The sequence below is a fragment of the Homo sapiens genome, chromosome X (assembly GCF_000001405.40).
Source record: "Homo sapiens chromosome X, GRCh38.p14 Primary Assembly".
In the NCBI taxonomy this organism is placed as follows: domain Eukaryota; kingdom Metazoa; phylum Chordata; class Mammalia; order Primates; family Hominidae; genus Homo; species Homo sapiens.
In genome coordinates, this window is record NC_000023.11 from 108,070,694 (window position 1) to 108,093,340 (window position 22,647).

Consider the following 22,647-nt stretch of genomic DNA (forward strand, 5'->3'; position numbering starts at 1 on the left):
GGTTAAATAGCTTAGTTTAGGATAGGCACATCCAACAAGTTGTTCCTACCTGAGAAAATCTTTGATAAGAAAGAATAAAGAACTAAGTAGAAGGATATTCCTTTCAATTAAAAAGACACATGCTTAAAAGATAGGGCTAGTAAACTGTTTAAGAATTATAGCTATATGCATCTGTCTTCTCGCACCTGTGTACAGATAGTGAGAGTCTGGGAAGGCTGAACTGAGCGGAAGTCAATGGGAGAGTAACTTTAGTAGCAGGAATTAGTGCTGCTGTGGCCAACAGAAATTCCAGGTTCTAGGCCCTATATTTATTATTGTATTTAATACTTGGATCAGCCAGAGGTTAGATAATCTCTTAGTCACGTTTTACAGATGAGTCAGCTGAGGTTTGGCTAAGTTAGGTAACTTGCCTATACAGATCCAGGGTAGAGTTACAAAGCCCGTATTCTGTGTGGATCCAGAGCTGTGCCCTTAACCACTGCGTCTCAGGTAAGAGCTGTAGGACTGAGTAATATGACACATTTCATGTCTAACTCACCTAAATTAGAGAACCTAAGCTTTAAAGGGTTCTAGAGCAAAATGAAGATAAGCAAGGTGAGTTGGAAAGTATAGAAATTTACATCATTGTCTGTATATAAGATAGATATATAAGGTGTATAAGATAGATGTATAGATATAAAATAAATATCTAAGATAAGAGATATAAGATAGATATGTAGATATGATAGATATATAAATGTATAAGATATGTAAGATAGAATAAACCGTGCAAGTAAGTAAGATGAATGAGGAGATTCAGATTCCCAGCTTCCCACAGGACTTCTCCCCTGACATGTTTTCATAAGCAGCTAAAACTCTATGTCCCGGACTGACCTCATTAGTACCCCTTCCTCCTTGTCACCCCTTCACCTAAAACCTGTTCTTCCTGCTGTGGTCTTGGAGGCCTCTTCCCCTCTCTAAAGTCATCTCTCATCCCTCTCCCACCCCACTTTAGAACTGTGTGAAAGTTACTTTTGAATTCCTGGTGCCTAGTCCCATGCCAGGCCCACAGAAGGCATGGGTGCTTGCTGAGTGAAGGATGAATAAATATTTCAGTGCTGAGTAGCGTGCACCCCCCAAATGGACTTCCCCTACTGATGATGCACACAGGCAAATTTAAACCTTTCAACTATTTGTGTCACCCACAGATGAACAAATGCAAAAAAAAAAAAAAAAAAGAAAATAATCATGAGAGAAAAGAGAAATACAGCATTAAATATTTTAAAAAGAATAATAGGTTATCTCAGAGTATTTAAGGATTCTATTTTCCTTTAAAACTGTGCTTTTAAAGCATAAACTATATTCCTGGTCATTTAGTATTTGCTTATATTTGGCTGTTTTAATAAAGGCATATTTTAAGACACAATGCGGAAATTCATGGTTATAAATCTGAGGAGGAGGCAGACAGAGGAGTCACTATTTGAATCTTAATGGCCTCTTGACTAGAAGGGCCCTGCACCTGAAGTGCTCTACTCCCACCTGGTGGTGCAAGCAGAAAACTGCCAACATACATTTTAATAATTTTTTTTGTGTGTGTGGAGACCCAGTCTCACTTTGTTGCTCAGGATGGAGTGCAGTGGCGTGATCTTGGCTTACTGCAACCTCTGCCTCCCAGGTTCAAGTGATTCTACTGCCTCACCCTCCCAAGTAGCTGGGATTACAGGCGCCCACCACCACGCCCAGCTAATTTTTGTATTTTTAGTAGAGATGGTGTTTCATCACATTGGCCAGGCTGGTCTCGAACTCCTGACCTCAGGTGATCCACCTACCTCGGCCTTCCAAATTGCTGGGATTACAGGCATGAGCCACTGCGCCTGGCCAAGAATTTTTTTTAAAAATAAATAAACACACATATTATTCAAAATGAAAGTGAGGAAGTGACTGCAATTGTCACAGAATGCCATTCATCCTAAAGAATTTTTATTCTTTGTCATTGCCTTACAGTGAAACCTTCTAAGCCCCTTTGTAGCGTTCAAGGAAGACCAGAAACTGGCCACACTATTTCCCTTTCCTGTCTCTCTGCGCTTGGAACACCTTCCCCTGTGTACTACTGGCATAAACTTGAGGGAAGAGACATCGTGCCAGTGAAAGAAAACTTCAGTAAGTGTAACCTGCAGTAGACCCTGGAAAGGCCTGGTGTCTGTGGTTGGATGACAGCAGGAGTGTGTGGTTGGCTGCTTGACCTTACAGTTCAATCTTCTTGTTTTCTCAGTGGTGGCGGGTGGAGGGGGGCGGCTGGTAATGTAAAAAGAATGCCTGTCTCCCAACACGATGATTGTGTTCTGGTCTACTCCCCAAATTCTAAAAGCCAGCTCAGAGATGGTGAATATGTAGGGAACAGGCATGGTCCCAGGTGAGTTAGCACTGGAACAGTCCTGAGGGGCCTAGTTGAATCCTGAACATCTCAAGAAAGAGAGGCCAATATGGGGGAGTGGGTGGACATTGAGTGATCTGTTACACTGATGTTATCTGTATGCACAGAAGAGATCTCAAAAGTCTATTCCCTGGTTTCAACAGACCCAACCACCGGGATTTTGGTCATTGGAAATCTGACAAATTTTGAACAAGGTTATTACCAGTGTACTGCCATCAACAGACTTGGCAATAGTTCCTGCGAAATCGATCTCACTTCTTCACGTGAGTTGACCATACAACTTTAACGGTTTCTCCTTAAATCAAGTAGTCTGGGCCTGTCAGACAAATAAATTAGTTAGGATCCCCAGTTAGTGCTTCCTGCTTCTCTGGAGATTTGTGTGCTTTATATACAGGCTGATATGATGAATGACCATCCTAATATCTAATGCTCACATAATAATATATGCCATATGCTGCCCTAAATCCTTTACAAAAAGCAATTTGTTTGCTTCACAAAATCGCTAGAAGGTAGGTATTACTATTCAATACTAAAAAAGAAGCCTTTCTGATAACAGCAGGCTGAATTTCTCTTTGTGATGCTGTTGGTAAATCCAGGTGACACTGTAGCTCTGACAAACATATACCTTGCAAAGATCTGCCACTAATAATAATAGTATTATAATAATAACACTCGTACCCACAATCACGGTAGCTACTATTTGTGGAGCATGAATTATGCTGAGTATTATCTCACTCTTTCCTCCCAACCACCCCTATCTAGGGAGGCAGACTATTGTCGGCCTCATTTTGCTGAAAAGAACACTGAAGCTCAGGGAAGTAAATGACTTGCCCAAGGTCATCCAGTTAGTAACTGGCAGAGCCAGGATGCCTCTAAACCTCAATTTTCCTATTCGAAGGTGCTTACTCACTCTCTGAGTGTAAGATTTAAGACTCCTGGAATTGTCCAATTGAGCTGACCCAGGGGCAACTCCTCACAAGGAATATCTCACCAAACATCTCAAGGATCACTTAATAACACTTAGGATCTTTTTTCAAACTTACTTTGAATTTGTGATTTTAATATATGCCATATCCAGGGATGGCAAGTTCCAGTGGGTTTTTGCTCTTCCTATGCACCTGAACTTTCTTCCTTTTATTTCTCCTGAAGTTTGCTCCTTTATTCTCATATCACTTTCAGCTATATTTCCTGCATCATTTCTGTTATCTTTCTTTAGAATTCCCTCAATATCTTTTTGCCTTCTCAGAGGTACAATCATACTGCAGATGTAGAGATATGTAGGATTTGGACTTGAGCATTGCTTCCTTTCTAGTCTTTTTTCCAATGATGTCCAGCACTGCCTTCCTCTCTCCCTCCCACATCCCTTCTTTCTTCCTTCCTTCCTCAAATATTTATTGAATATCTACTGTGTTCCAGGGACTGTCCTAGGTGATAAAGATACAGAGATAAAGAAGATGTATGTCCTATACTCAAGGAGCTCACAGTTCAGCTAGAGGGACAAACACAACTAAAACATGCTAAATCCTATAATAGAAGTCTGAACAGGGTCTATAGAGCACCAAGGGAGGAAAATTATGCTTATAGAACTGGGATGGCTTTACCAACAAAGTGCTATTTGAGCAGGATCTTGAAGGAACTTGCAAAGCCTCATCATCTATAAAATGGGAAAGCTGAAGCATGACGGTAGAGCAGCAGGCTTAGGAGAGCAACCAGGTCATGATGGGGGAAGAGAATGGAGGGCTTCACATGGCATGTCTCTGAGGGAAAAATCACAAGAAACTGATATATCATCTGATATGTTTGAATCAATTGAAAGAAGTTTAATGGTTTTGTTGGAAATTTCGGGATGAGTGATAATGCATTTATTAATCCCCAAATGAAGCAATTATTAACCTCCGGGAAAATTTTTGTAAATGTTGTACAAGAAAGAATCATAGTATACTGTGTTCCTCAGCTGTGAACAATATTTATATAGCCATACTACTGCAAACTTGGATTTAACTAAAACTTGTGATATAACTATTTTGGAAGAACATGGTGGGTGTGAGGGGAGTGGTGTAAAAGAGCTCAATCTCCAACTTCTAGGGTACGAAGTTGAAAGAAAATGATGGAATGGAAAAAAGGTAGGACATATCAGAGCAAACATAATAAAAACATGGGGGCAAGAAGACTTTTAAAAAGAGTTAAGAGTGGTTGCCTTTCGTGAATGGGACTCAGAAACGGGAAGGAGTCGGGCAGGGAACTGCTGTTTTTGTGAGACATGTAGTAGAACTATTTGACTTTTTAAACTATTTACTTATATTCTCTTAATCATAAAAAGTTAAAGGAATTATTATCAGGCAGCTCAAAATATAAGGTGTCCATCCTTGTGTGAGGGGAGGCAGATGGGGTTGGGTTGGCTTATAACCCAGATGTGGTCTTCCAGAGACAACACCTCAGGGCTTGAAGGTCTGGTGCTCAGCTGGATAATGTCCCACTCATTAAGTTTGTCCATAGACCGAGACAATAAACCAGATGCCTGTTTATCAAAATGGGCATATCACTTCCCAGTGACCAGAGTGCATGAGGTTCCTTCGTAAGCATTGACGCCATGGGGGAGGTTTTTAGGGACCAATTTCACCTGTGCTCTGGGAAAGCCTAGTGAAATGTTCCTGCCTGTAACAGAGGCTTATCTCTAGTGACCAGATCACAACTCCATGGTGTCTCAAGACTCTTTTCTCTAAATCCCATTTCAAAAGCAACCCCACCTCCTCCAAGTTGGCCACATTTTATTCTTTATGTGCACAAATGTCAATAGTCTTCTCCCACTGTGAGTCCAAATGACAGAGTTCTAGGGGTTTCCATTTCCCTAGCCTATACAAGTCATTTTCCCACTATGTGAATGGCCCTGATATTCCCCACTAGTCACAAACACACATTATAAAATGACAATATATTCCACTTTATTAACCAGCTGCTTGTATCCTTCAGATCCAGAAGTTGGAATCATTGTTGGGGCCTTGATTGGTAGCCTGGTAGGTGCCGCCATCATCATCTCTGTTGTGTGCTTCGCAAGGAATAAGGCAAAAGCAAAGGCAAAAGAAAGAAATTCTAAGACCATCGCGGAACTTGAGTAAGCCTTCATTTTGTTGTCTTTACTTGAATACAAACATTTCTCAGGCATGTCTTTTTCAGTCATCAATTCCTAAGCACTCCTTTTAGTATAAGATATCAGAGGTATCTTTCTGTTTACTCTCATTGAATTTAAAAAAGAATGATGATGGCTGCTATTTATTGAGTGCTGTGTGCCAGGCTCTGTTCTAAGCACTTTATGTACATCAACTCATTTAGCTATCACAACAGTTTTAGGTCCAAGAAAACATTTTCATATATAATACTAACATACTTGTCTTAATACCAACATAGTCATGAAATATAATTTTAAATTTTTTTATGGAACAAGAGACCCACAAGGACAGTGCCCAGGGAACACAGAAGTTAGAATGTGGCCCAGCCCACAGCTCATGCTCTTAATCACTCTATTTCTTTCCTAGTGTGTATCTCACTCATTCATTTTTTTTCATCTCCTTGCTTCTACAACTATCTATTGGGTATCAACCAGGTGCCAAGTATTGTACTAGATGGAGTGAGAAATAGCGATACATCAGAGCTATGAATTTGGACCTTAAAGACCTTATTAGATTCTTAGACTCTTTCATTCTGACATTATTTTCCCACCTTGAAACACTGCTCTTTCTTAAACTTTCATGATATTGTTGAGACCTAACCTTTCTGAATCCAAAATGACCTATGGCCTGACAATGAGTCAGAATATCAGAAATAACAGATTTCCTGAAGTCTGGGACCTATGGTCATTGAAGCTACAGAACATATGGTTTCACATGAAATTTCAAAGTTAGCATCTCCCTAACTTGTTCTTTTCTGGGCCTTCTTTCTTGCAGGCCAATGACAAAGATAAACCCAAGGGGAGAAAGCGAAGCAATGCCAAGAGAAGACGCTACCCAACTAGAAGTAACTCTACCATCTTCCATTCATGAGACTGGCCCTGATACCATCCAAGAACCAGACTATGAGCCAAAGCCTACTCAGGAGCCTGCCCCAGAGCCTGCCCCAGGATCAGAGCCTATGGCAGTGCCTGACCTTGACATCGAGCTGGAGCTGGAGCCAGAAACGCAGTCGGAATTGGAGCCAGAGCCAGAGCCAGAGCCAGAGTCAGAGCCTGGGGTTGTAGTTGAGCCCTTAAGTGAAGATGAAAAGGGAGTGGTTAAGGCATAGGCTGGTGGCCTAAGTACAGCATTAATCATTAAGGAACCCATTACTGCCATTTGGAATTCAAATAACCTAACCAACCTCCACCTCCTCCTTCCATTTTGACCAACCTTCTTCTAACAAGGTGCTCATTCCTACTATGAATCCAGAATAAACACGCCAAGATAACAGCTAAATCAGCAAGGGTTCCTGTATTACCAATATAGAATACTAACAATTTTACTAACACGTAAGCATAACAAATGACAGGGCAAGTGATTTCTAACTTAGTTGAGTTTTGCAACAGTACCTGTGTTGTTATTTCAGAAAATATTATTTCTCTCTTTTTAACTACTCTTTTTTTTTATTTTAGACAGAGTCTTGCTCCGTCGCGCAGGCTGTGATCGTAGTGGTGCGATCTCGGCTCACTGCAACCTCCGCTCCCTGGGTTCAAGCGATTCTCCTGCCTGAGCCTCCTGAGTAGCTGGGACTACAGGCACGTGCCACCACGCCCGGCTAATTTTTTGTATTTTTAGTAGAGATGGGGTTTCACGTTGTTAGCCAGGATGGTCTCCATCTCCTGACCTCATGATCCGCCCACCTTGGCCTCCCAAAATGCTGGGATTACAGGCATGAGCCACTGCGCCCGGCCTCTTTTTAGCTACTCTTATGTTCCACATGCACATATGACAAGGTGGCATTAATTAGATTCAATATTATTTCTAGGAATAGTTCCTCATTCATTTTTATATTGACCACTAAGAAAATAATTCATCAGCATTATCTCATAGATTGGAAAATTTTCTCCAAATACAATAGAGGAGAATATGTAAAGGGTATACATTAATTGGTACGTAGCATTTAAAATCAGGTCTTATAATTAATGCTTCATTCCTCATATTAGATTTCCCAAGAAATCACCCTGGTATCCAATATCTGAGCATGGCAAATTTAAAAAATAACACAATTTCTTGCCTGTAACCCTAGCACTTTGGGAGGCCGAGGCAGGTGGATCACCTGAGGTCAGGAGTTCGAGACCAGCCTGGCCAACATGGCGAAACCCCTTCTCTACTAAAAATACAAAAATTAGCTGGGCGTGGTAGTGCATGCCTGTAATCCCAGCTACTTGGGAGGCTGAGGCAGGAGAATCGCTTGAACCCAGGAGGTGGAGGTTGCAGTGAGCCGAGATTGTGCCACTGCACTCCAACCTGGGTGACAGAGTGAGATTCCATCTGAAAAACAAAAACAAAAACAGAAAACAAACAAACAAAAAACAAAAAATCCCCACAACTTTGTCAAATAATGTACAGGCAAACACTTTCAAATATAATTTCCTTCAGTGAATACAAAATGTTGATATCATAGGTGATGTACAATTTAGTTTTGAATGAGTTATTATGTTATCACTGTGTCTGATGTTATCTACTTTGAAAGGCAGTCCAGAAAAGTGTTCTAAGTGAACTCTTAAGATCTATTTTAGATAATTTCAACTAATTAAATAACCTGTTTTACTGCCTGTACATTCCACATTAATAAAGCGATACCAATCTTATATGAATGCTAATATTACTAAAATGCACTGATATCACTTCTTCTTCCCCTGTTGAAAAGCTTTCTCATGATCATATTTCACCCACATCTCACCTTGAAGAAACTTACAGGTAGACTTACCTTTTCACTTGTGGAATTAATCATATTTAAATCTTACTTTAAGGCTCAATAAATAATACTCATAATGTCTCATTTTAGTGACTCCTAAGGCTAGTCCTTTTATAAACAACTTTTTCTGACATAGCATTTATGTATAATAAACCAGACATTTAAAGTGTACAATTTGATGAGTTTTGACAGAGCACATACCCATGAAACCACCACACCCATCTAGAGAGAAAACATTTCCATCAGCCCAAAATGTTTCTTCATGCCCCTTTGTGCGATCCCACCATTGCCCTGGACCTAGGAAATCACTCATTGTTTTCCATCACTAGAGGTTAACTTTGCCTTTTCTTGGCCCTCATACATATGGGATGATACAGTATGTACTTTTTGTGTCTCACTTCCTTCTAAGGTGAATCCTTTTTAAACAAAGTAGTGAGTTTCTCATTTATCACTTTCAGATTTTCATGTAAAATATTTTCTTAAACTGCAAACTCCTTTCTATATAAATCATAACCATACACAGATTGAGGTAGAGTCTCTGTAGGTTTTAAGGAGAGTTAAAATGGAAATTAACATTACACTTATCTAGAGCCATGGAGAGAAGAGATAGCAAGCGTTTATTTCTGCATTTTCTTCGATGCGTCCATTTTCAGAAAATGTCAGGGATTTCTGATGCATTTATAATTTCATTCATACTAAATATGATAGTATGGTATATGGTGTCTGATGGACACAAGAAGCAAAATAATGAAGGTCTTAAGAATGACCTAATATTTAGAGATTAAAAAGTAAACAACAGTGTAAACATCTCAATTACCAGAATGCCCAAGTAGCTGGAATTCATTTTTCCTTTCCATTTTTATTATAGAGGCAAATCGCAAGAGACTGACATGTAATAGTCAACAATTACACCCCAAAATTTTTGATGGATCAGTGCAGTCCAGGAAAGAAAGCACTACTGGTAGTCTTATAGAGCTCTGTCCTTATTAGCACTGTTCTGTTCAAAATACTGATGAATAGTTGGATCAGTGGCTTGTAACCTTTTTCTGAGGTCATGGAACACCTTGAGAATCTGCTGAAAACTCTAAACTCATCTTCACTGAAAGATGCTTATACACATAAAGTGTCACATATAGTTTCAGGTGAGTTACAGACTCCCTGAATCCAAGATGAAGAAACAGTTACTTAGATCAAAACACACAAAGTACACTTAATAAATTTGTGGATGACTTGCTCCTAGGGGGAATGGCCACTAGGCTATAAGAAAGAATCACGATTCAGAATGATCTTGATAGCTCAAAAGTGGAGTTGAAACCAACAAAATGAATTTGACAGGAATAAATAGAAAAATCTGGATTTAAAAATATGAAGTACATGTTGCCCAGGCAGAAACCCTACATGGGCAAGGTTAGGAAGCACATGAGATTAATCTGAATTCGTACCTTTGGATCTCTCCTTTCAGTGCCATTTCTGGCCTTGTGGCATCTTATTTTCCAAACACCCAGGATTCTCATGCTCCCATTAGCTCAGTGACCCTCTCAGTTCTTCTTCCCTCGGGCAAGACTCATTGCGCAGGACCTAAAGTAGCTGTTCTGTAACCTGTTCTTGTCCAGTGAACATGATCTTTCATCATTCAGTGATCTCATTAGGTTGATAAATGAGTTAGTCTTCTTTGGAGTATTTACCTTTTAAAGAGGACTCAAGCACAGATAATCCTTAATCTGAAGAGTCTAAACAATCCAGAGGAGATATATTTCTGAAAAAAGGAAACTTCTCAGCCCCTCTCAAATCAAACCAGGTGGTTTACCACCCATTCAATCTACTCTGGGCAACTCAGTTTTGATCAACTTTGATCAGAGCTAGAAGAGTGCTCTGAAATAAATAGTATTCAAACTTTTTCAACCCCAGCACACCTGAGTTATAACACATACAGTGGGCCACTCCTAACAATGATGAAGCTGGAGGTGGGAGATGATGTACAATTAAATTATTGGTGGGGGAGACAGGAAGGGGTAAATGTTCTTTTAAAAAGCTGGTTCACTCTTATATATTGCCACCCAGCCCCTAGAGGAGAATCCCTGAGTGCAGAGAAGTAAAATAATCTGCCTGAGATTACGCAAAGTCAAAACTAGATCCACATCATCTGGATTTCAGGGCAATGCTTTTCAACTGCACCAAACTACTAATTTCAGTGAAACAAACCCAAGCTTTAGTAATAAAAAGTTGTTTTACAATGTCTACCTGCTGGAAAACACATCAGTGGGCCTCATAAAAGGTTTAAACTAATCGATAAAGACTCAGTACTCCCACTTGTCTTTGAAACTTTGGTTTAAAAACAAAACAAATAATTCAGAGATGATAATGAGGGCTCCAGGAAACCATAAAAAGATATGCCAATAAAGAAAAACTGTTCCACTACTCACAACACTTCAGAAAGCAAATGTGTGGGGTTTCCACACCAAGTAATTCTCCAATTCTCTGCAGACACTGACTGGGTGTCCTGCAATTTAATTCAATTCTGACACTACCCAGGGTTGGGTCTGACAAGACTGCCCCCAACTTCAGACACATCACAAGTATTGGGTGCCCAGTGTACCCACACTTCTGTTAGACTTGGGTACAAATTGGGGGTTCCCGCAACCTCAAGTTTGATAATTTGCTGTAATGGCTCATAGAACTCAAGGAAACACTGTTGTCCACCAGTTTATTATAAAGGACATTATAAAGGATACAGATGAATGGCCAGCTGAAGAAGTACATAGGGTGAGGTCCAGAAGGGTCCTGAACATAGGAGCTTCTGTTCCCATGGAGTGGGGGTGTACCACTCTTCTGGCATGTGGGTGTGTCACCAACCTAGATGCTCACCAAACCCTGTAGTTTATGAATTTTTATGGAGGCTTCATCACATAGGTATGATCAACTATTAACTCAATCTCCAGCCCCTCTTCCCTCCCTGGAGGATGGGGGGTTGGGGCTGAAAGTTCTAATCCTCTAATCATGGCTTGGTCACTAATAGCCCCCGTTCTAAAGCTATCCAGGAGCCCACTAAGAGTTGCAACATTAGAACAAAAGGCACTCCTATCACCCAGGAAATCCCAAGGGGTTTAGAAGCTCTATGTAAGACACTCCTATCACTCAGGAACTGTCAAGGGTTTTAGGAGCTCTGTTTCAGGTACTGGGGGCTGAGACCAAATATGTATTTCTTATTACGTCACAGCCAAATTAAAGAAAAGCACCAGGATAGGTGTTTCAACTAACCGGTTATTTTCAAAATGCCAGAATACCTTCCATTTGGTCCACTGTCTTTGAAGAGGCAGAAAAGAAAATGAATTAGAATCCAGGAAAGCTAGATTTTGGTACTGGCTGTTTCTCTAGCTCTGGGTATATTCTCATCTGTAAAATGGAGATGATTTCTGCCTTCTTAAAGACTACAGTGAGAATAGATGTGAAAACTTATAAATTAAAAAACTGTAGTAGAACTATAGTTGTAGAAATGAGGTCTCCTGACAACTGATTCAGTATTCTTTTTTGTCTCAACCAGGGATTTTTAACCTTTTGGGGGAATCACAGATGTCCTTGAGAATTTGATGAAAGCAATAAATCCTCTTCCCAGAGAAATTCACATTACAAATTTCTGCTTTCAATTTTAGGCAGTCAATAGAACTGTGAAGCTGGAGCCATAAACCACAAAGTCAAGAATCTTTATACTCTATCAGACTTGCCAACAGATTGATTTGGAGGCCTTGTAGTGTAACAGAATATGGGAGCAGAAAGCAGCAGACGCAGCCATCTAAGGAATTCATTGTAGTTGGTACAGCTGAGAAATTGGGGAATCAAACACTAGTGTCATACAGTTAAATGTTAAGTCAAAGATTATGAAGAAAAACACAGATTTACTTTGAAGTTCCCAAAACCTCAGTGAAATTGTAATTCTCTATAACATATTTAAGAATGTAAATGTTTTCACTATTTTCATTGGCCTTTTTCTTCCATCGTATATTCTCAGTTAAGCTTTACCATTAAATTATTTATGTATTTTGAGATGAATTGTCGCTCTGTCACCCAGGCTAGACTGCAGTGGCACCAACTCGGCTCACTGCAACCTCCACCTCCTGGGTTCAAGCAATTTTCGTGCCTCAACCTCCTGAGTAGCTGGGATTACAGGCGCCCACCACCACACCCGGCTAATTTTTTTAGTAGAGATGGGGTTTCGCCATGTTGGGCAGGCTGGTCTTGAACTCCTGACCTCAGGTAATCTGCCCGCCTCGACCTCCCAATGTGCTGGGATAACAGGCATGAGCGACCATGCCCAGCCAAATTATGTTTTGAAACTGTAAAATCTGCTGACCTTGAATCAGCTTCATCTCTAACACCTTTCCTACAGACACAGGTAACAATCTGATCAATATCCGAGGCCACTAATATCTTTATTTTATACAAATCTGTGATCTAAATATTAACAAGTCATGCCATTTAAAATGCCAAAAGCCTACAAATTACCTGTGGCTTAGCTCCATCTGTATTGCTTATTGAAGAACTCGGATGAATTTCCTTTTACACCCACGAAACCTATCACCTCAGACAATTAACTCAATATTTATGAAGAGTAAATGTCTTCAGTTGTAACAGACAAAACTTTACTCTGATCACACTAAAAATACTAGAAATATTATTTCCCCTGCTATCAAGTCTATCTCCAGCATTCAATAGAGTTTTGTTCTATAAGATGCTTCTCTGATTGTTAAGGTTAGCACTCACAATACTTCTGTAAAAAGTTTCTATATCAGTAACACAGTTCGTGTTTACGAAACTCATTTTAGCTACTGATCATTAAGACTTTGACCGAAAATTAATGCAAGTTTGTAGGTTCACTTGGATCACTTATTTCGAGCAGTATTTGCAGCATAAAATTCAAATAAAAAATAATCTGAAAGTCACTTGGAGTTCATTAGATTTTATGACTAGTATCAGTTAAGATGCTTCCCTAAATGGAGCTCAAGTTTATACTTAATAATTTCCTTTTGTTCTACATTTAATTAGCAATTCAGAAGATGGCTATTTTAAAAGATTTTAGCTACAATTCAAGCTTCACTAATTTTATTGACTTAGAGCTACCAAAAACTGAGAAATGTCTTTACTAAGGATTCTAAGGCTTAAGTGAATTCTAGCTAATTTGAAAGAAAAATTGGAAGATTCTTTCAACATTTTATTTTTTAGTTTCTGAAATACAAATCAAAATACATTTTTGTTACATGTCATTTTAACAAGCTTGACATTCTTTTCAATACAGGATGACACAAAATAGGTACTTTAAAACTTCCTTTTAAGAAAACCATACATTTTATTTCAGAGTAAACAACCCATCAAAAACAAATACATAGGTATATGGGCTATTGTTTTTCAGTATTTTAGAGCACACCATCCAACTTAAAATGTGGTCCACTAAAATATGTAAATATCCCTCCTATCACAAAAATAAATTAAACCTCATGGTTAAAAAAAACAGAAACGTTTGGCGTAGGCCTGAGTGAGCTTGAAAAACAAGTTAGGATGTTTTAACTGTATGGAGGAACATTACAGAATCCACATAGAAACATCTGGCAGAACAACTAGCTTGTTGCTATTGGAGCTGTTCTGTTTCAGAGAGGGATATAAGGTACATGGGAGGGTGCTGAAGACTCACAACAGCCACAGAATTAGTTACTCCAAATTAACCAGAATTCAATATAGAAGAATATACGACAACAGTAGAACAATCTCAACAGTTATTCGATGCCTGGAAAACAAGCTGTAAGCTTCGAACAAGTAACTCAGCAGGAACAAGAGTCAACATGTTTATAAGACTTTGAAGGTGAGAAAACTTCATCATTCATAGATGATGTCTTGTGCACAAATACATTAGTTTGTAGGACACTGGGGACAACAACACAACATACAAAGTAAGAATAAATCCAAGCTGTTTAACCTTCCACCATTCTCTTGAGTATTAAACCCAGGCCACCTTTGGCCACTTGCAGGGGTGTCTTTTCTTCTTTATTCTCAATGTAAATACTTGCTCCTTGGGACACCAGCAGTTTTGCTTCTTCCACTCTCTCCTCATCACAGGCTAAGTGTCTGAAATCAGGGACCACCAGAGACCAATTAATCACTACCAATTCTATGTAATGGTTAGGATTTCTTGCTAGGTAGTCTGAAGTGCATATGATTAAGAAATGGTAACATTGGAAAGTTATTTAATCAGGAAAGAAACATCAGTTTGCATAGGGAGACTGTAAGTTAAAATTCTACAAAAAAAGCCTTGTAATACCAGATCGTAAATCATAATTCTGGTTCTACTTACAATAGAAGAAGGGATCTAAATGCTAGCCTAAGGAACAACTTTCTCATTTTACAGAGATAAGTAGTTGTTTACCTCAAACACTACATGTAATAATTCAGGGTTAGAATTTAGAAAAGCCTCAGTTCATAAACTGTTAATAGTAATTCGTGCAGCTTAAAGTTTGAAAAAGCAGTTTAAAAGATTTTATCTCATTTAGTCCATATATCTATCTTATAAGTTAGCAAAGTATTATTATCATCATTTTACAGTTGAAATGGTGACAGAGGTTAAAGTTCCTACCTATGCTGACATGTCTTGGCAGTAGACTGAGTGGAAGAGGGTAACAACTTTTGCCATGCACTTAAGAGTTTGCCAGGAGGGTATTAGGAGGCACTTTACATGTTGCTTTACTTAAACCTCACAATAATCTAGTGAGGAAGGAATTATTACCCTTATATTACAGATGAGGAAATTAAGATTCAAGGAAGATTAAGTAACTTTTATAAATTGTTTAATACAAGTATTTAATATTGTTAGTAAGTGGTAGAGTCTGAATTGGGTGAACATCATCTAGCTATTCATAAATCCTATGTTCGTCCCAGTACTCTATCTTGTCTGACTCCTAGATTTCCTCTAGGCCATCCTGCCTTTCTATTTATGGAGAAAAGAGGTAGGGCATACAGGTCTTTCTAAACAGGGTCTCTTAGAATGCAGGAAAGATTTTAAAAACTAAGAGTTAAGAAAATAATACTTTTTAAAAGTTGGCTTAAAGTCAAATTGGAAAAGGCTGAACCTCACTCTGGACTAAAAAGAAGACTCACAGAACTTCTGGTTCAAGAAAAAGTCACCATTCAACACAGAAGAAAAGTGGCCAAGTACCGTGGAAAAATATCAAGGTAAAGGCCAGCTTCAGATCATACACATAATTCAATTACAGATGGATTTTAAGAGTTAAATGCAAAACAATAACACTAACCCTCAATCAAAACCAATGAAACGTTAAAATAACCTATAATAAAAGACGGGTGAATATTTAACTAATTTCAGGGTAAGGAAGAGCTTTCTAGTCATGAGGAAAGATGAATGGGCTTGACTACGTAGAAATTTTAAAACTTCTCTTATGTAAAAGAAATTATGAACAAAATGAAAAGATAAACTAGGAAAAATATTTTCAACTAACATTGCAGAAAATTAATATTTTACCATGCCAAATCAAGAGCACTTAAAACCCAGTGAAAATAAATTAATTCCCCAAAAGGAAACAGAGAAAGGGACACAAAAAGTTACAATTAGATAAGAAATGTAATTACCTATGGACATTAAAAAAAGTTCAAATTCACTGATAATAAAAATATAAATTACCTCTATGAAATATCATTTTCACATAACAAAAGGATAATTTAGTGTTGGTGAGGGGGTAATAGGCACTCTTACACTGCTGTTGGGAGGGTAAAATGATACAACTCCTCTGGAAGCAATTTGGCAACATATAGCAAGTCTTAAAATGTGTGTATTTGTTGACGCAGCAATTCCACTTCTAGGAGTCTATAAGAAGGTAATCATCAGAAATGTGGCCAAAAGTTTTCTGTACAAAGTTGGTCAACTATTTTAGAGACAAGGTCTTGCTCTGTTCCCCAGGCTGGAGTGCAGTGGTGTGATCACAGCTCACTGTAACCTGGAGCTCCTGGGTTCAAGCAATCCTCCCACCTCAACCTCCCGAGTAGTTAGTACTACAGGTGCATGCCACCATGCCTAGCTAAGTTTTTAATTTTTTCTAGAGACGGGGGGTCTTGCTGTGTTGCCCAGGCTGGTCTTGAACTCCTGGCCTCAAGTGATCCTCCCGCCTTGGCTTTACAAAGTGCTGGGATTACAGACATGAGCCATTATGCCTGGCTCAATGTACCATTATTTATAATAGTGAAAAACTCATAAAAGTTTAAATATACAGTAATAGAGGAATGATTAAATTATGGCACATCTATACAGAATTTTATATACCCATTAAAAAGGTTTTAAACATATTTAATATATGCTTATACTATGAGGTGAAAAGAACAAGAGCTAAAACTACATACACAGTATGACCCCAATTTTGCTAAAAAATATGTATGTATAAAATATATACATTTGAATATAAAAGACCAGGAGGAAATACACAAGAATGTGATCAGTAGTTATTTCTGAGTGGCAAGATAATAGGCAATTTTTATCTTTATATTTTGTGCAATTTAACATTTTTGCCATTAACACGTATTGCATTTATAAGCAGAATAAAAAAAGAAATGATGTATAAGAATTATTGCAAGAAGGCTAATGTCAGGTAGAATACAAATGACTGCTACTTGTCACTTACAGAGGAGTGTTACCCTCAGTGTCTTGGATGTTTGTGGATGCTTTGTAGTACAGAAGGATATGAATCATCTTCAAGTTACCCTTGGCTGCTGCCCGGTGCATTGCTGTAGCCTCATAATGGTCCTTAGCATCTGGATTAGCCCCGCCTTCCAGTAACATGACAGCGATCTGGAAAGATGGAGAAGAAAGAAGAAAACAATGCAGAAATCTATCTGTGTTTGTATACACGTTTAGAACTCAACAGAAGTAGCCTAGGATGGAACCATACCTCATGCCTGTTTTTCGAAGCTGCATAATGTAAGGGAGTACAGCCATTTTGATTGACAGCATTCACTTGAGCACCTTTTCCCAGAAGGGCTTTTACAATCTCATCCCGGCCAGCAGAAGCCGCAATATGAAGAGGAGACCAACCTGCCTATAAAAGAAGTAGGTAGTAGAAATACCAGGGGAAAAAGGCACAAGGATTAGTGCTAACATTTAGGAAGGGTTAGCAAGGAGCTTTACAAAGGCAAAAAAATATTTGCCTACAAAAAAGGTTCCATTCTTACTCTTCACAAATCTAATCCTAATATAACCATATCATTAGAATAAATCTCTTTATGTAACAAAAAAGTTATTTAGGTCCTCATTATTCAGGCCATGTTCACCAAAAAACAAAAAATCCAACATAATAGAAAGAGTTTATGGTCTTTTAGGGTTCACCATAACAAGCCCTGATCTGTATGTTTATTTTTGTTTTTTTATTTTTAGAGACAAGGTCTCAGTCTGTCACCCAGGATAGAGTACAATGGCTCACTGCAGCCTCAAACTACTAGGCTGGAGCAATCCTCCTACCTCAGCCTCTCCTGTATGTTTACCTTAAATCACAGAGTATGAGTGGCAAACATAACATTGTAAAATAATGCAACCATGAGTCTCATGCTTGATCACAAGGGCCATGATGTAACTTTCCAGTCATAAAGGTTACAATTTTCTTTATAAGCTTAATGCACAGGCTTCAGTAAACACCAGTCTGGAGTACAAAGATAACTGGGAATTTATCAACTCAACTTTATCAAAGTACTCACATCGTCTTTATCATTCACTGGCACTCCAAGTTGCAACAAAAATTCAACAATTTCTGTATGTCCAGCTGAGCATGCCCAGTGCAATGCAGTTCTGCTGTCCTACAGAGAAGCAGTAATAGAAACATTCTTGAAATAGAAGGCAAAAAAGCAAGAAAAAAAATACTGGTGCTGGCAAATCTATAGTTTGAAAATACGAAATGCAGAGCACTGGATCCTCAGGTAGGTAACCTTAAACTATATTACTTACTGGTATAAGACAGATGAAGGTTTAAGTAACATGGGGAGAATGACATTGATGAACATACGTAATTCTGGGCAGAATACGACAAGGAAAGTAGTAGAGCAAGAAACTGATTTCAATGCTTTGACAGAAATACATCTTTGGTTGTTTTACTATTACATTATTTACGTACTTTTATGTCAGGCACTGTGCTGGGAGTTTTACATGTATAGTATCATTTAATTCCTACCATTCTACACAGTGCTTATTATCTCCATTTTTCAGATGAGGAAACTAAAACTCCTCAGGGTAAGCAACTTGTGGACGGTCATATGGATACTAAATGGTGAAGTTGGGGCACAACTGTCAGTGAAGTTCTGACTCTGAAATCTCTACTACCACACTGACCTCAAGTTAGATGCTGTAGAAGGAACACATGAATCTAATGGGGGAAGAAATGTTCATTAAACTAGTTGAAATTATCTAGAATTTAAAATCATAAATAAATTAGAAATATAATTTAGAAAACACAACACACAGAAAACAAGAAAATTACTTTTTATAAAAAATAATAAGCTATGGCCGGGTGCGGTGGTTCACGCCTATAATCCCAGCACTTTGGGAGGCTGAGGTGGGCAGATCACCCGAGGTCAGGAGTTCTAGACCAGCCTGGCAACATGGTGAAACTCCGTCTCTACTAAAAATACAAAAGTTAGCCAGGCGTGGTGGCAGGCGCCTGTAATCCCAGCTACTTGGGAGGCTGAGGCAGGGGAATCGCTTGAACCCGGGAGGCAGAGGTTGCAGTGAGGTGATACGGCACCACTGCACTCCAGCCTGGGCAACAAGAGCGAAACTCTGTTTCAAAAAATAAATAAATAAAAATAAATAAAAATTAAAAAAGCTATAGTAGTCATTATTTGTCAAAGGGAATCCCTATTTGCAGTGACTGCTATACTTCTTAGCCCCACAGAATAGAAAATGGTATTTTAAACTCTATTACAAAAAAATTTCAAACACAAAAATAGAGGGAATAGAATAGAAACCCACAGGCCTACTGCTTAGATTTAACAACAAACATCTTGCCCTATTTGCTTTAACTAGTTTTTTCCTTGCTGAGCTTTCCAAAAACAAATCCTAAATATCATGACTTTTCACCCTTCTCTTTCAGTATGTAAAAAATAAAGGTATTTCTTATATAACTATGAGACCATTATTACACTTACTAAAATTAACACTAACTCCTTTAGAATGTCTAATATCCGGTCTGTATTCAGATTGCCCCCAACTGTCTCCCAAATGTCTTTTTGCAGTTGGTTTGTTTAAATCAGGAACCAGACGAGATCCATAAATTGCATTTCTTCATGTTTTTTACGTCTCTTGATGCTGAATAGTTCCTTTCCCTTTTTAAGCCACTGACTTGACTGAAGAATGGTTAAATTTCCAATGGAGTATTAAATCTTAATATAAAGTATTACATTTAAATTTAAATCCTTAAATATCACCAGACCATAATGAAGTAAACCAGGTAAAGATAAGGCCATTTTCAGGTTGAGTAATAAAGGAAAGTTCCAGAAAAGAGAAAACAGTCTCTTGATTTCTAATTCTCTCCCAAAAGACACAAAATGGAGATCTGTAAGTATGGGACAGTCTCACTAGTGCTTACGACACTGTCTGCGAAACACAAGGCCATCTATAAATATTTGTGGGCTTACTAAAGGCACCATGAATCCTAGAAACTGAGGATGAAAGCACGAGAGTCCTGTGAGCAGGAGGGCAGAAAGAAACACTTCTAAACTTCTGTCTACCTCTGCTTAGAATGTCCACTCATTCCCCCATGGAAATCCCACTCATGCTTCAAAGTCTAACTAACCTTCCCTTCTTTGCAAAAACTTTTCCAATTAACGACAGTCATATTCAGCATCAGATCCTCCTATTAACGTGTTCTGAAAGCACCATGTAAACTTCTCTGCCGAGTATTTACCACAATTTGTAATCGGACATGTTTTTGTGCTTATTTTATTGTCTGCATCTTCCACTCCACCGTATCCCCAGCTCCTAGCAAACTGCCTGGCACGGAAGGGGCGTTCAATTTCACATGCGTTACTGAATACAGTTACTAGTAAAGGTAAATAAATCCATATAAAAAGCCTTCCTTTTCACTGATTGGGAGTTTCTGAGAAATGCGGTAGACGTTCTAGAACTATCCAAAAATCAGGGAGCGGAGCTCCGGGCCAACGGGAAAATATCTGAGGTCTGTGGGGCTAGCTCCCGCAGGCCTATCGCGAGTCCCGAGGTGACCCAGGGGGACTGCTTGGGGCGGCGGGGGCGGGGTTCTGCTTCTCTCAGAAACGGGGCCTCCGCTAGGGCCGGGCCCCGAAAGCCACGTAGGGCTTCGCCGACGTCGCCGACTGCGGAGAGACCTAGCGTTGCTTTACCTGGTCAGTTCTAGTAGCCAGGGATTTATCGGCCAGAATACTCTCCTTCAACTCTTCCAGCTTCCCGCTGTAGGCCAGGTTGCAGACCATTAGGTTAGACACACACCCCTCCATTTCGCTGTCCCAGCAACTACTTGTCGCGCGAGCAACGCCCGCCTCACGTCGCCGGCTCCGGCTACGCCAGTCAAAACAGCCGTTAGAGCTTCACCAATCACCGGCCTTCCTCGTTCCCTTTTCTTTTCCCGTCGCGCGGCGCCTCTGGGAGTTGCAGTTTGAGAGCAGTTCCGGGCAGGGAGGCGCCTTTGCTGCCCTCACAGACTTGGCCCCTAGCAGTGCAGAACTACAAGTCCCAGGGATCCTAGCGACCGTCCGTCCGTAGTCAAGTTGCCGGTGGAATTGGCCCAGGATGACAGCTGGAGAATGGAGTCAGGTACGGGGAGCGGCTTTGAGTGGAACCGTGTGAAAGAGCCGGGGTGGGTAGTCGCTGGCGGGTCGTTGAGTCGGCCATATGAAACAGGTTCGGGGGCAGGGCAAGAGTTATGAGAGCCTAAAGGTCCTGTCCCCCGGGGTTCCTGACCTGCAGTGGCAGGCGGAAGGGACAAGGGTTGGAGCTGAGTACTACCTACTGAGCTCGAACCGGTGACTGTGGCTACCCTCCCCCTCCCTGCCACCGCCTAGGGAGTGGAAAGAAGTGGGGGTTAATTACTCTGACATCTCGGCGGTGTGGCATCAGGACAGGGTTCTACCACAGCAGTGATAGCATATGGCACCGTACTGAGGTGATGTGCCAGGGTGATGCCAAAGGCAGGGTGTGATGCCGTGGGAGCCACCTGATATCTAAGAGACCTCGGTGAGTCCATAGCCTGGTGACATCACAGCTTGATGAGGGTCATCTTAAGGATACCGGGCTGTGGTGTTGGCATTTTAATATCACGATATTAACTATGTTGTCAAGGCTTTGCTACAACTATTAAGCTAATAGTGTTTCTTTTTATAGAAATCCCAAATAGTGCCATAGCAGAAGCAATGCAAGACTGATCCTTTATAGGGCATATCCAGAGGACATTATGCCACAACTAGGTAACGATAAGAATACATTCAAGAAAGAGACTCATGATGTTTATGTTTATCCTGTTATAGTGTAGAACAGGAGTTGGGAAACTTTCTGTAAAGAGCCAGATAGTAAATATTTTAGGCTTTGTAGGCCAAAAGGCAAAATCAAGAATATTTTGTTGGTACTTTTATGACAAAAGAGAAAACAAATTTCAACAAATTTTTATTGATGAAATTCAAAATATAATAGTAATTGAGTACTTTTTTTGTAATACAGGAAGACTACCAATGAGAAGAATAGAATTCTTTTTAGGGGATAATATTTTGCTTAATTGGGGCTCAGAATTAGTGTTCCCTATTGTCAAAATTGATTTTAAGTGTTCATCTGTTAATGCTGATCTGTTAGGAAATTTTTACCTATTTAATCTTTGAAAATGTCATTTTACATAGATAGGTACTGCCAAATACTGATATCAATTCATAAACATATACTTTTTTATTTTTATTTTTATTTAATTTTTCAAAAATTTCAGAATAGTTGTAGATTTATAGAAAAGTTGCAAGGTTAGTAGAGTTCCTGTATAACACTCACTCAAAATGAGGCACATTTTACATATCATAAAATTCACTGATTTCAAGTGCATAATTAAATGATTTTTGGTAACTTTACTGAAGTGGGGCAACCATCACCATAAATCAGTTTTAGAACTTTTTGATCCCTCCAGTAAGGTCCCTCATGCCTATTTATAGTTAATCAATCCTCTGTCCCATTCCCAGCCCCAGACAACCACTAATCTACTTTTTTGTTTCTATAAATTTGCCTATTCTGGACATTTTATATAAATGAAATCATACAATATGCAGTCTTTGTGTCTGATTTC

At 39.3% G+C, this 22,647-nt stretch overlaps 3 protein-coding genes across 20 annotated transcripts in view, besides 2 other annotated features; 2 read left to right on the forward strand and 1 right to left on the reverse strand.

Moving 5' to 3' along the window:
* Window positions 1–8,491, forward strand: part of VSIG1 (V-set and immunoglobulin domain containing 1) — a 60,306-nt gene extending 51,815 nt beyond the window's left edge. For all 6 annotated transcript variants that reach the window (XM_011530936.3, XM_047442073.1, XM_005262127.5 and 3 more), the window contains 4 exons: window positions 1,984–2,139; window positions 2,557–2,676; window positions 5,384–5,525; window positions 6,355–8,491. In XM_011530936.3, coding sequence (XP_011529238.1) covers window positions 1,984–2,139; window positions 2,557–2,676; window positions 5,384–5,525; window positions 6,355–6,688 — 752 coding nt within the window. In that variant the 3' untranslated portion in view covers window positions 6,689–8,491. The remainder of the gene's footprint in view (window positions 1–1,983; window positions 2,140–2,556; window positions 2,677–5,383; window positions 5,526–6,354) is intronic.
* On the reverse strand, window positions 13,514–20,849 carry PSMD10 (proteasome 26S subunit, non-ATPase 10). 2 transcript variants are annotated; one of them, NM_170750.3, is made up of 5 exons: window positions 20,714–20,849; window positions 18,059–18,157; window positions 17,260–17,406; window positions 17,072–17,159; window positions 13,514–14,434 (listed from the first exon to the last, which is right to left on the reverse strand). In NM_170750.3, the coding sequence occupies exons 1-5, from the start codon at window positions 20,825–20,827 to the stop codon at window positions 14,427–14,429; spliced, it is 456 nt and encodes a 151-aa protein (NP_736606.1). In that variant the 5' UTR covers window positions 20,828–20,849; the 3' UTR covers window positions 13,514–14,426. The 2 variants fall into 2 exon arrangements, with proteins under 2 accessions (NP_736606.1, NP_002805.1); NM_002814.4 differs by having other exon boundaries at window positions 16,993–17,159.
* ATG4A (autophagy related 4A cysteine peptidase) overlaps window positions 18,136–22,647 on the forward strand; it is a 65,843-nt gene continuing 61,331 nt past the window's right edge. For 6 of the 12 annotated variants that reach the window (NR_135608.2, NM_001321290.2, NM_178271.3 and 3 more), the window contains exon 1: window positions 21,085–21,143. Coding sequence is in view for 4 of the 12 variants with exons in the window: in NM_052936.5 (NP_443168.2) it covers window positions 21,134–21,143 (10 nt within the window). In the remaining 8 variants the exon portion in view is untranslated. Of the gene's footprint in view, window positions 18,278–21,084; window positions 21,564–22,647 lie in introns of those variants that run through there. The other 6 variants (XM_047441801.1, XM_047441802.1, NM_001321287.2 and 3 more) reach the window with 3 other exon arrangements.
* Window positions 20,598–20,997: an enhancer, noted in NCBI's record as "active region_29838". NCBI's record gives its function as "activates an Ori minimal core promoter by ATAC-STARR-seq in GM12878 lymphoblastoid cells {active_cell/tissue: GM12878}" and the evidence as "EXISTENCE:reporter gene assay evidence [ECO:0000049][PMID:35858748]".
* Window positions 21,048–21,287: an enhancer, noted in NCBI's record as "active region_29839". NCBI's record gives its function as "activates an Ori minimal core promoter by ATAC-STARR-seq in GM12878 lymphoblastoid cells {active_cell/tissue: GM12878}" and the evidence as "EXISTENCE:reporter gene assay evidence [ECO:0000049][PMID:35858748]".

Bases quoted from the DNA above. Each gene is read 5' to 3' on its own strand.
- PSMD10 (NM_002814.4), bottom strand. From the start codon at position 20,827: ATGGAGGGGTGTGTGTCTAACCTAATGGTCTGCAACCTGGCCTACAGC. The intron at 18,158-20,713 runs GTAAAGCAACGC...GCTTCTCTGTAG, and splicing joins TGGCTACTAGAACTGACCAG to GACAGCAGAACTGCATTGCA. The intron at 17,407-18,058 runs GTGAGTACTTTG...CTTCTTTTATAG, and splicing joins CAGTGAATGATAAAGACGAT to GCAGGTTGGTCTCCTCTTCA.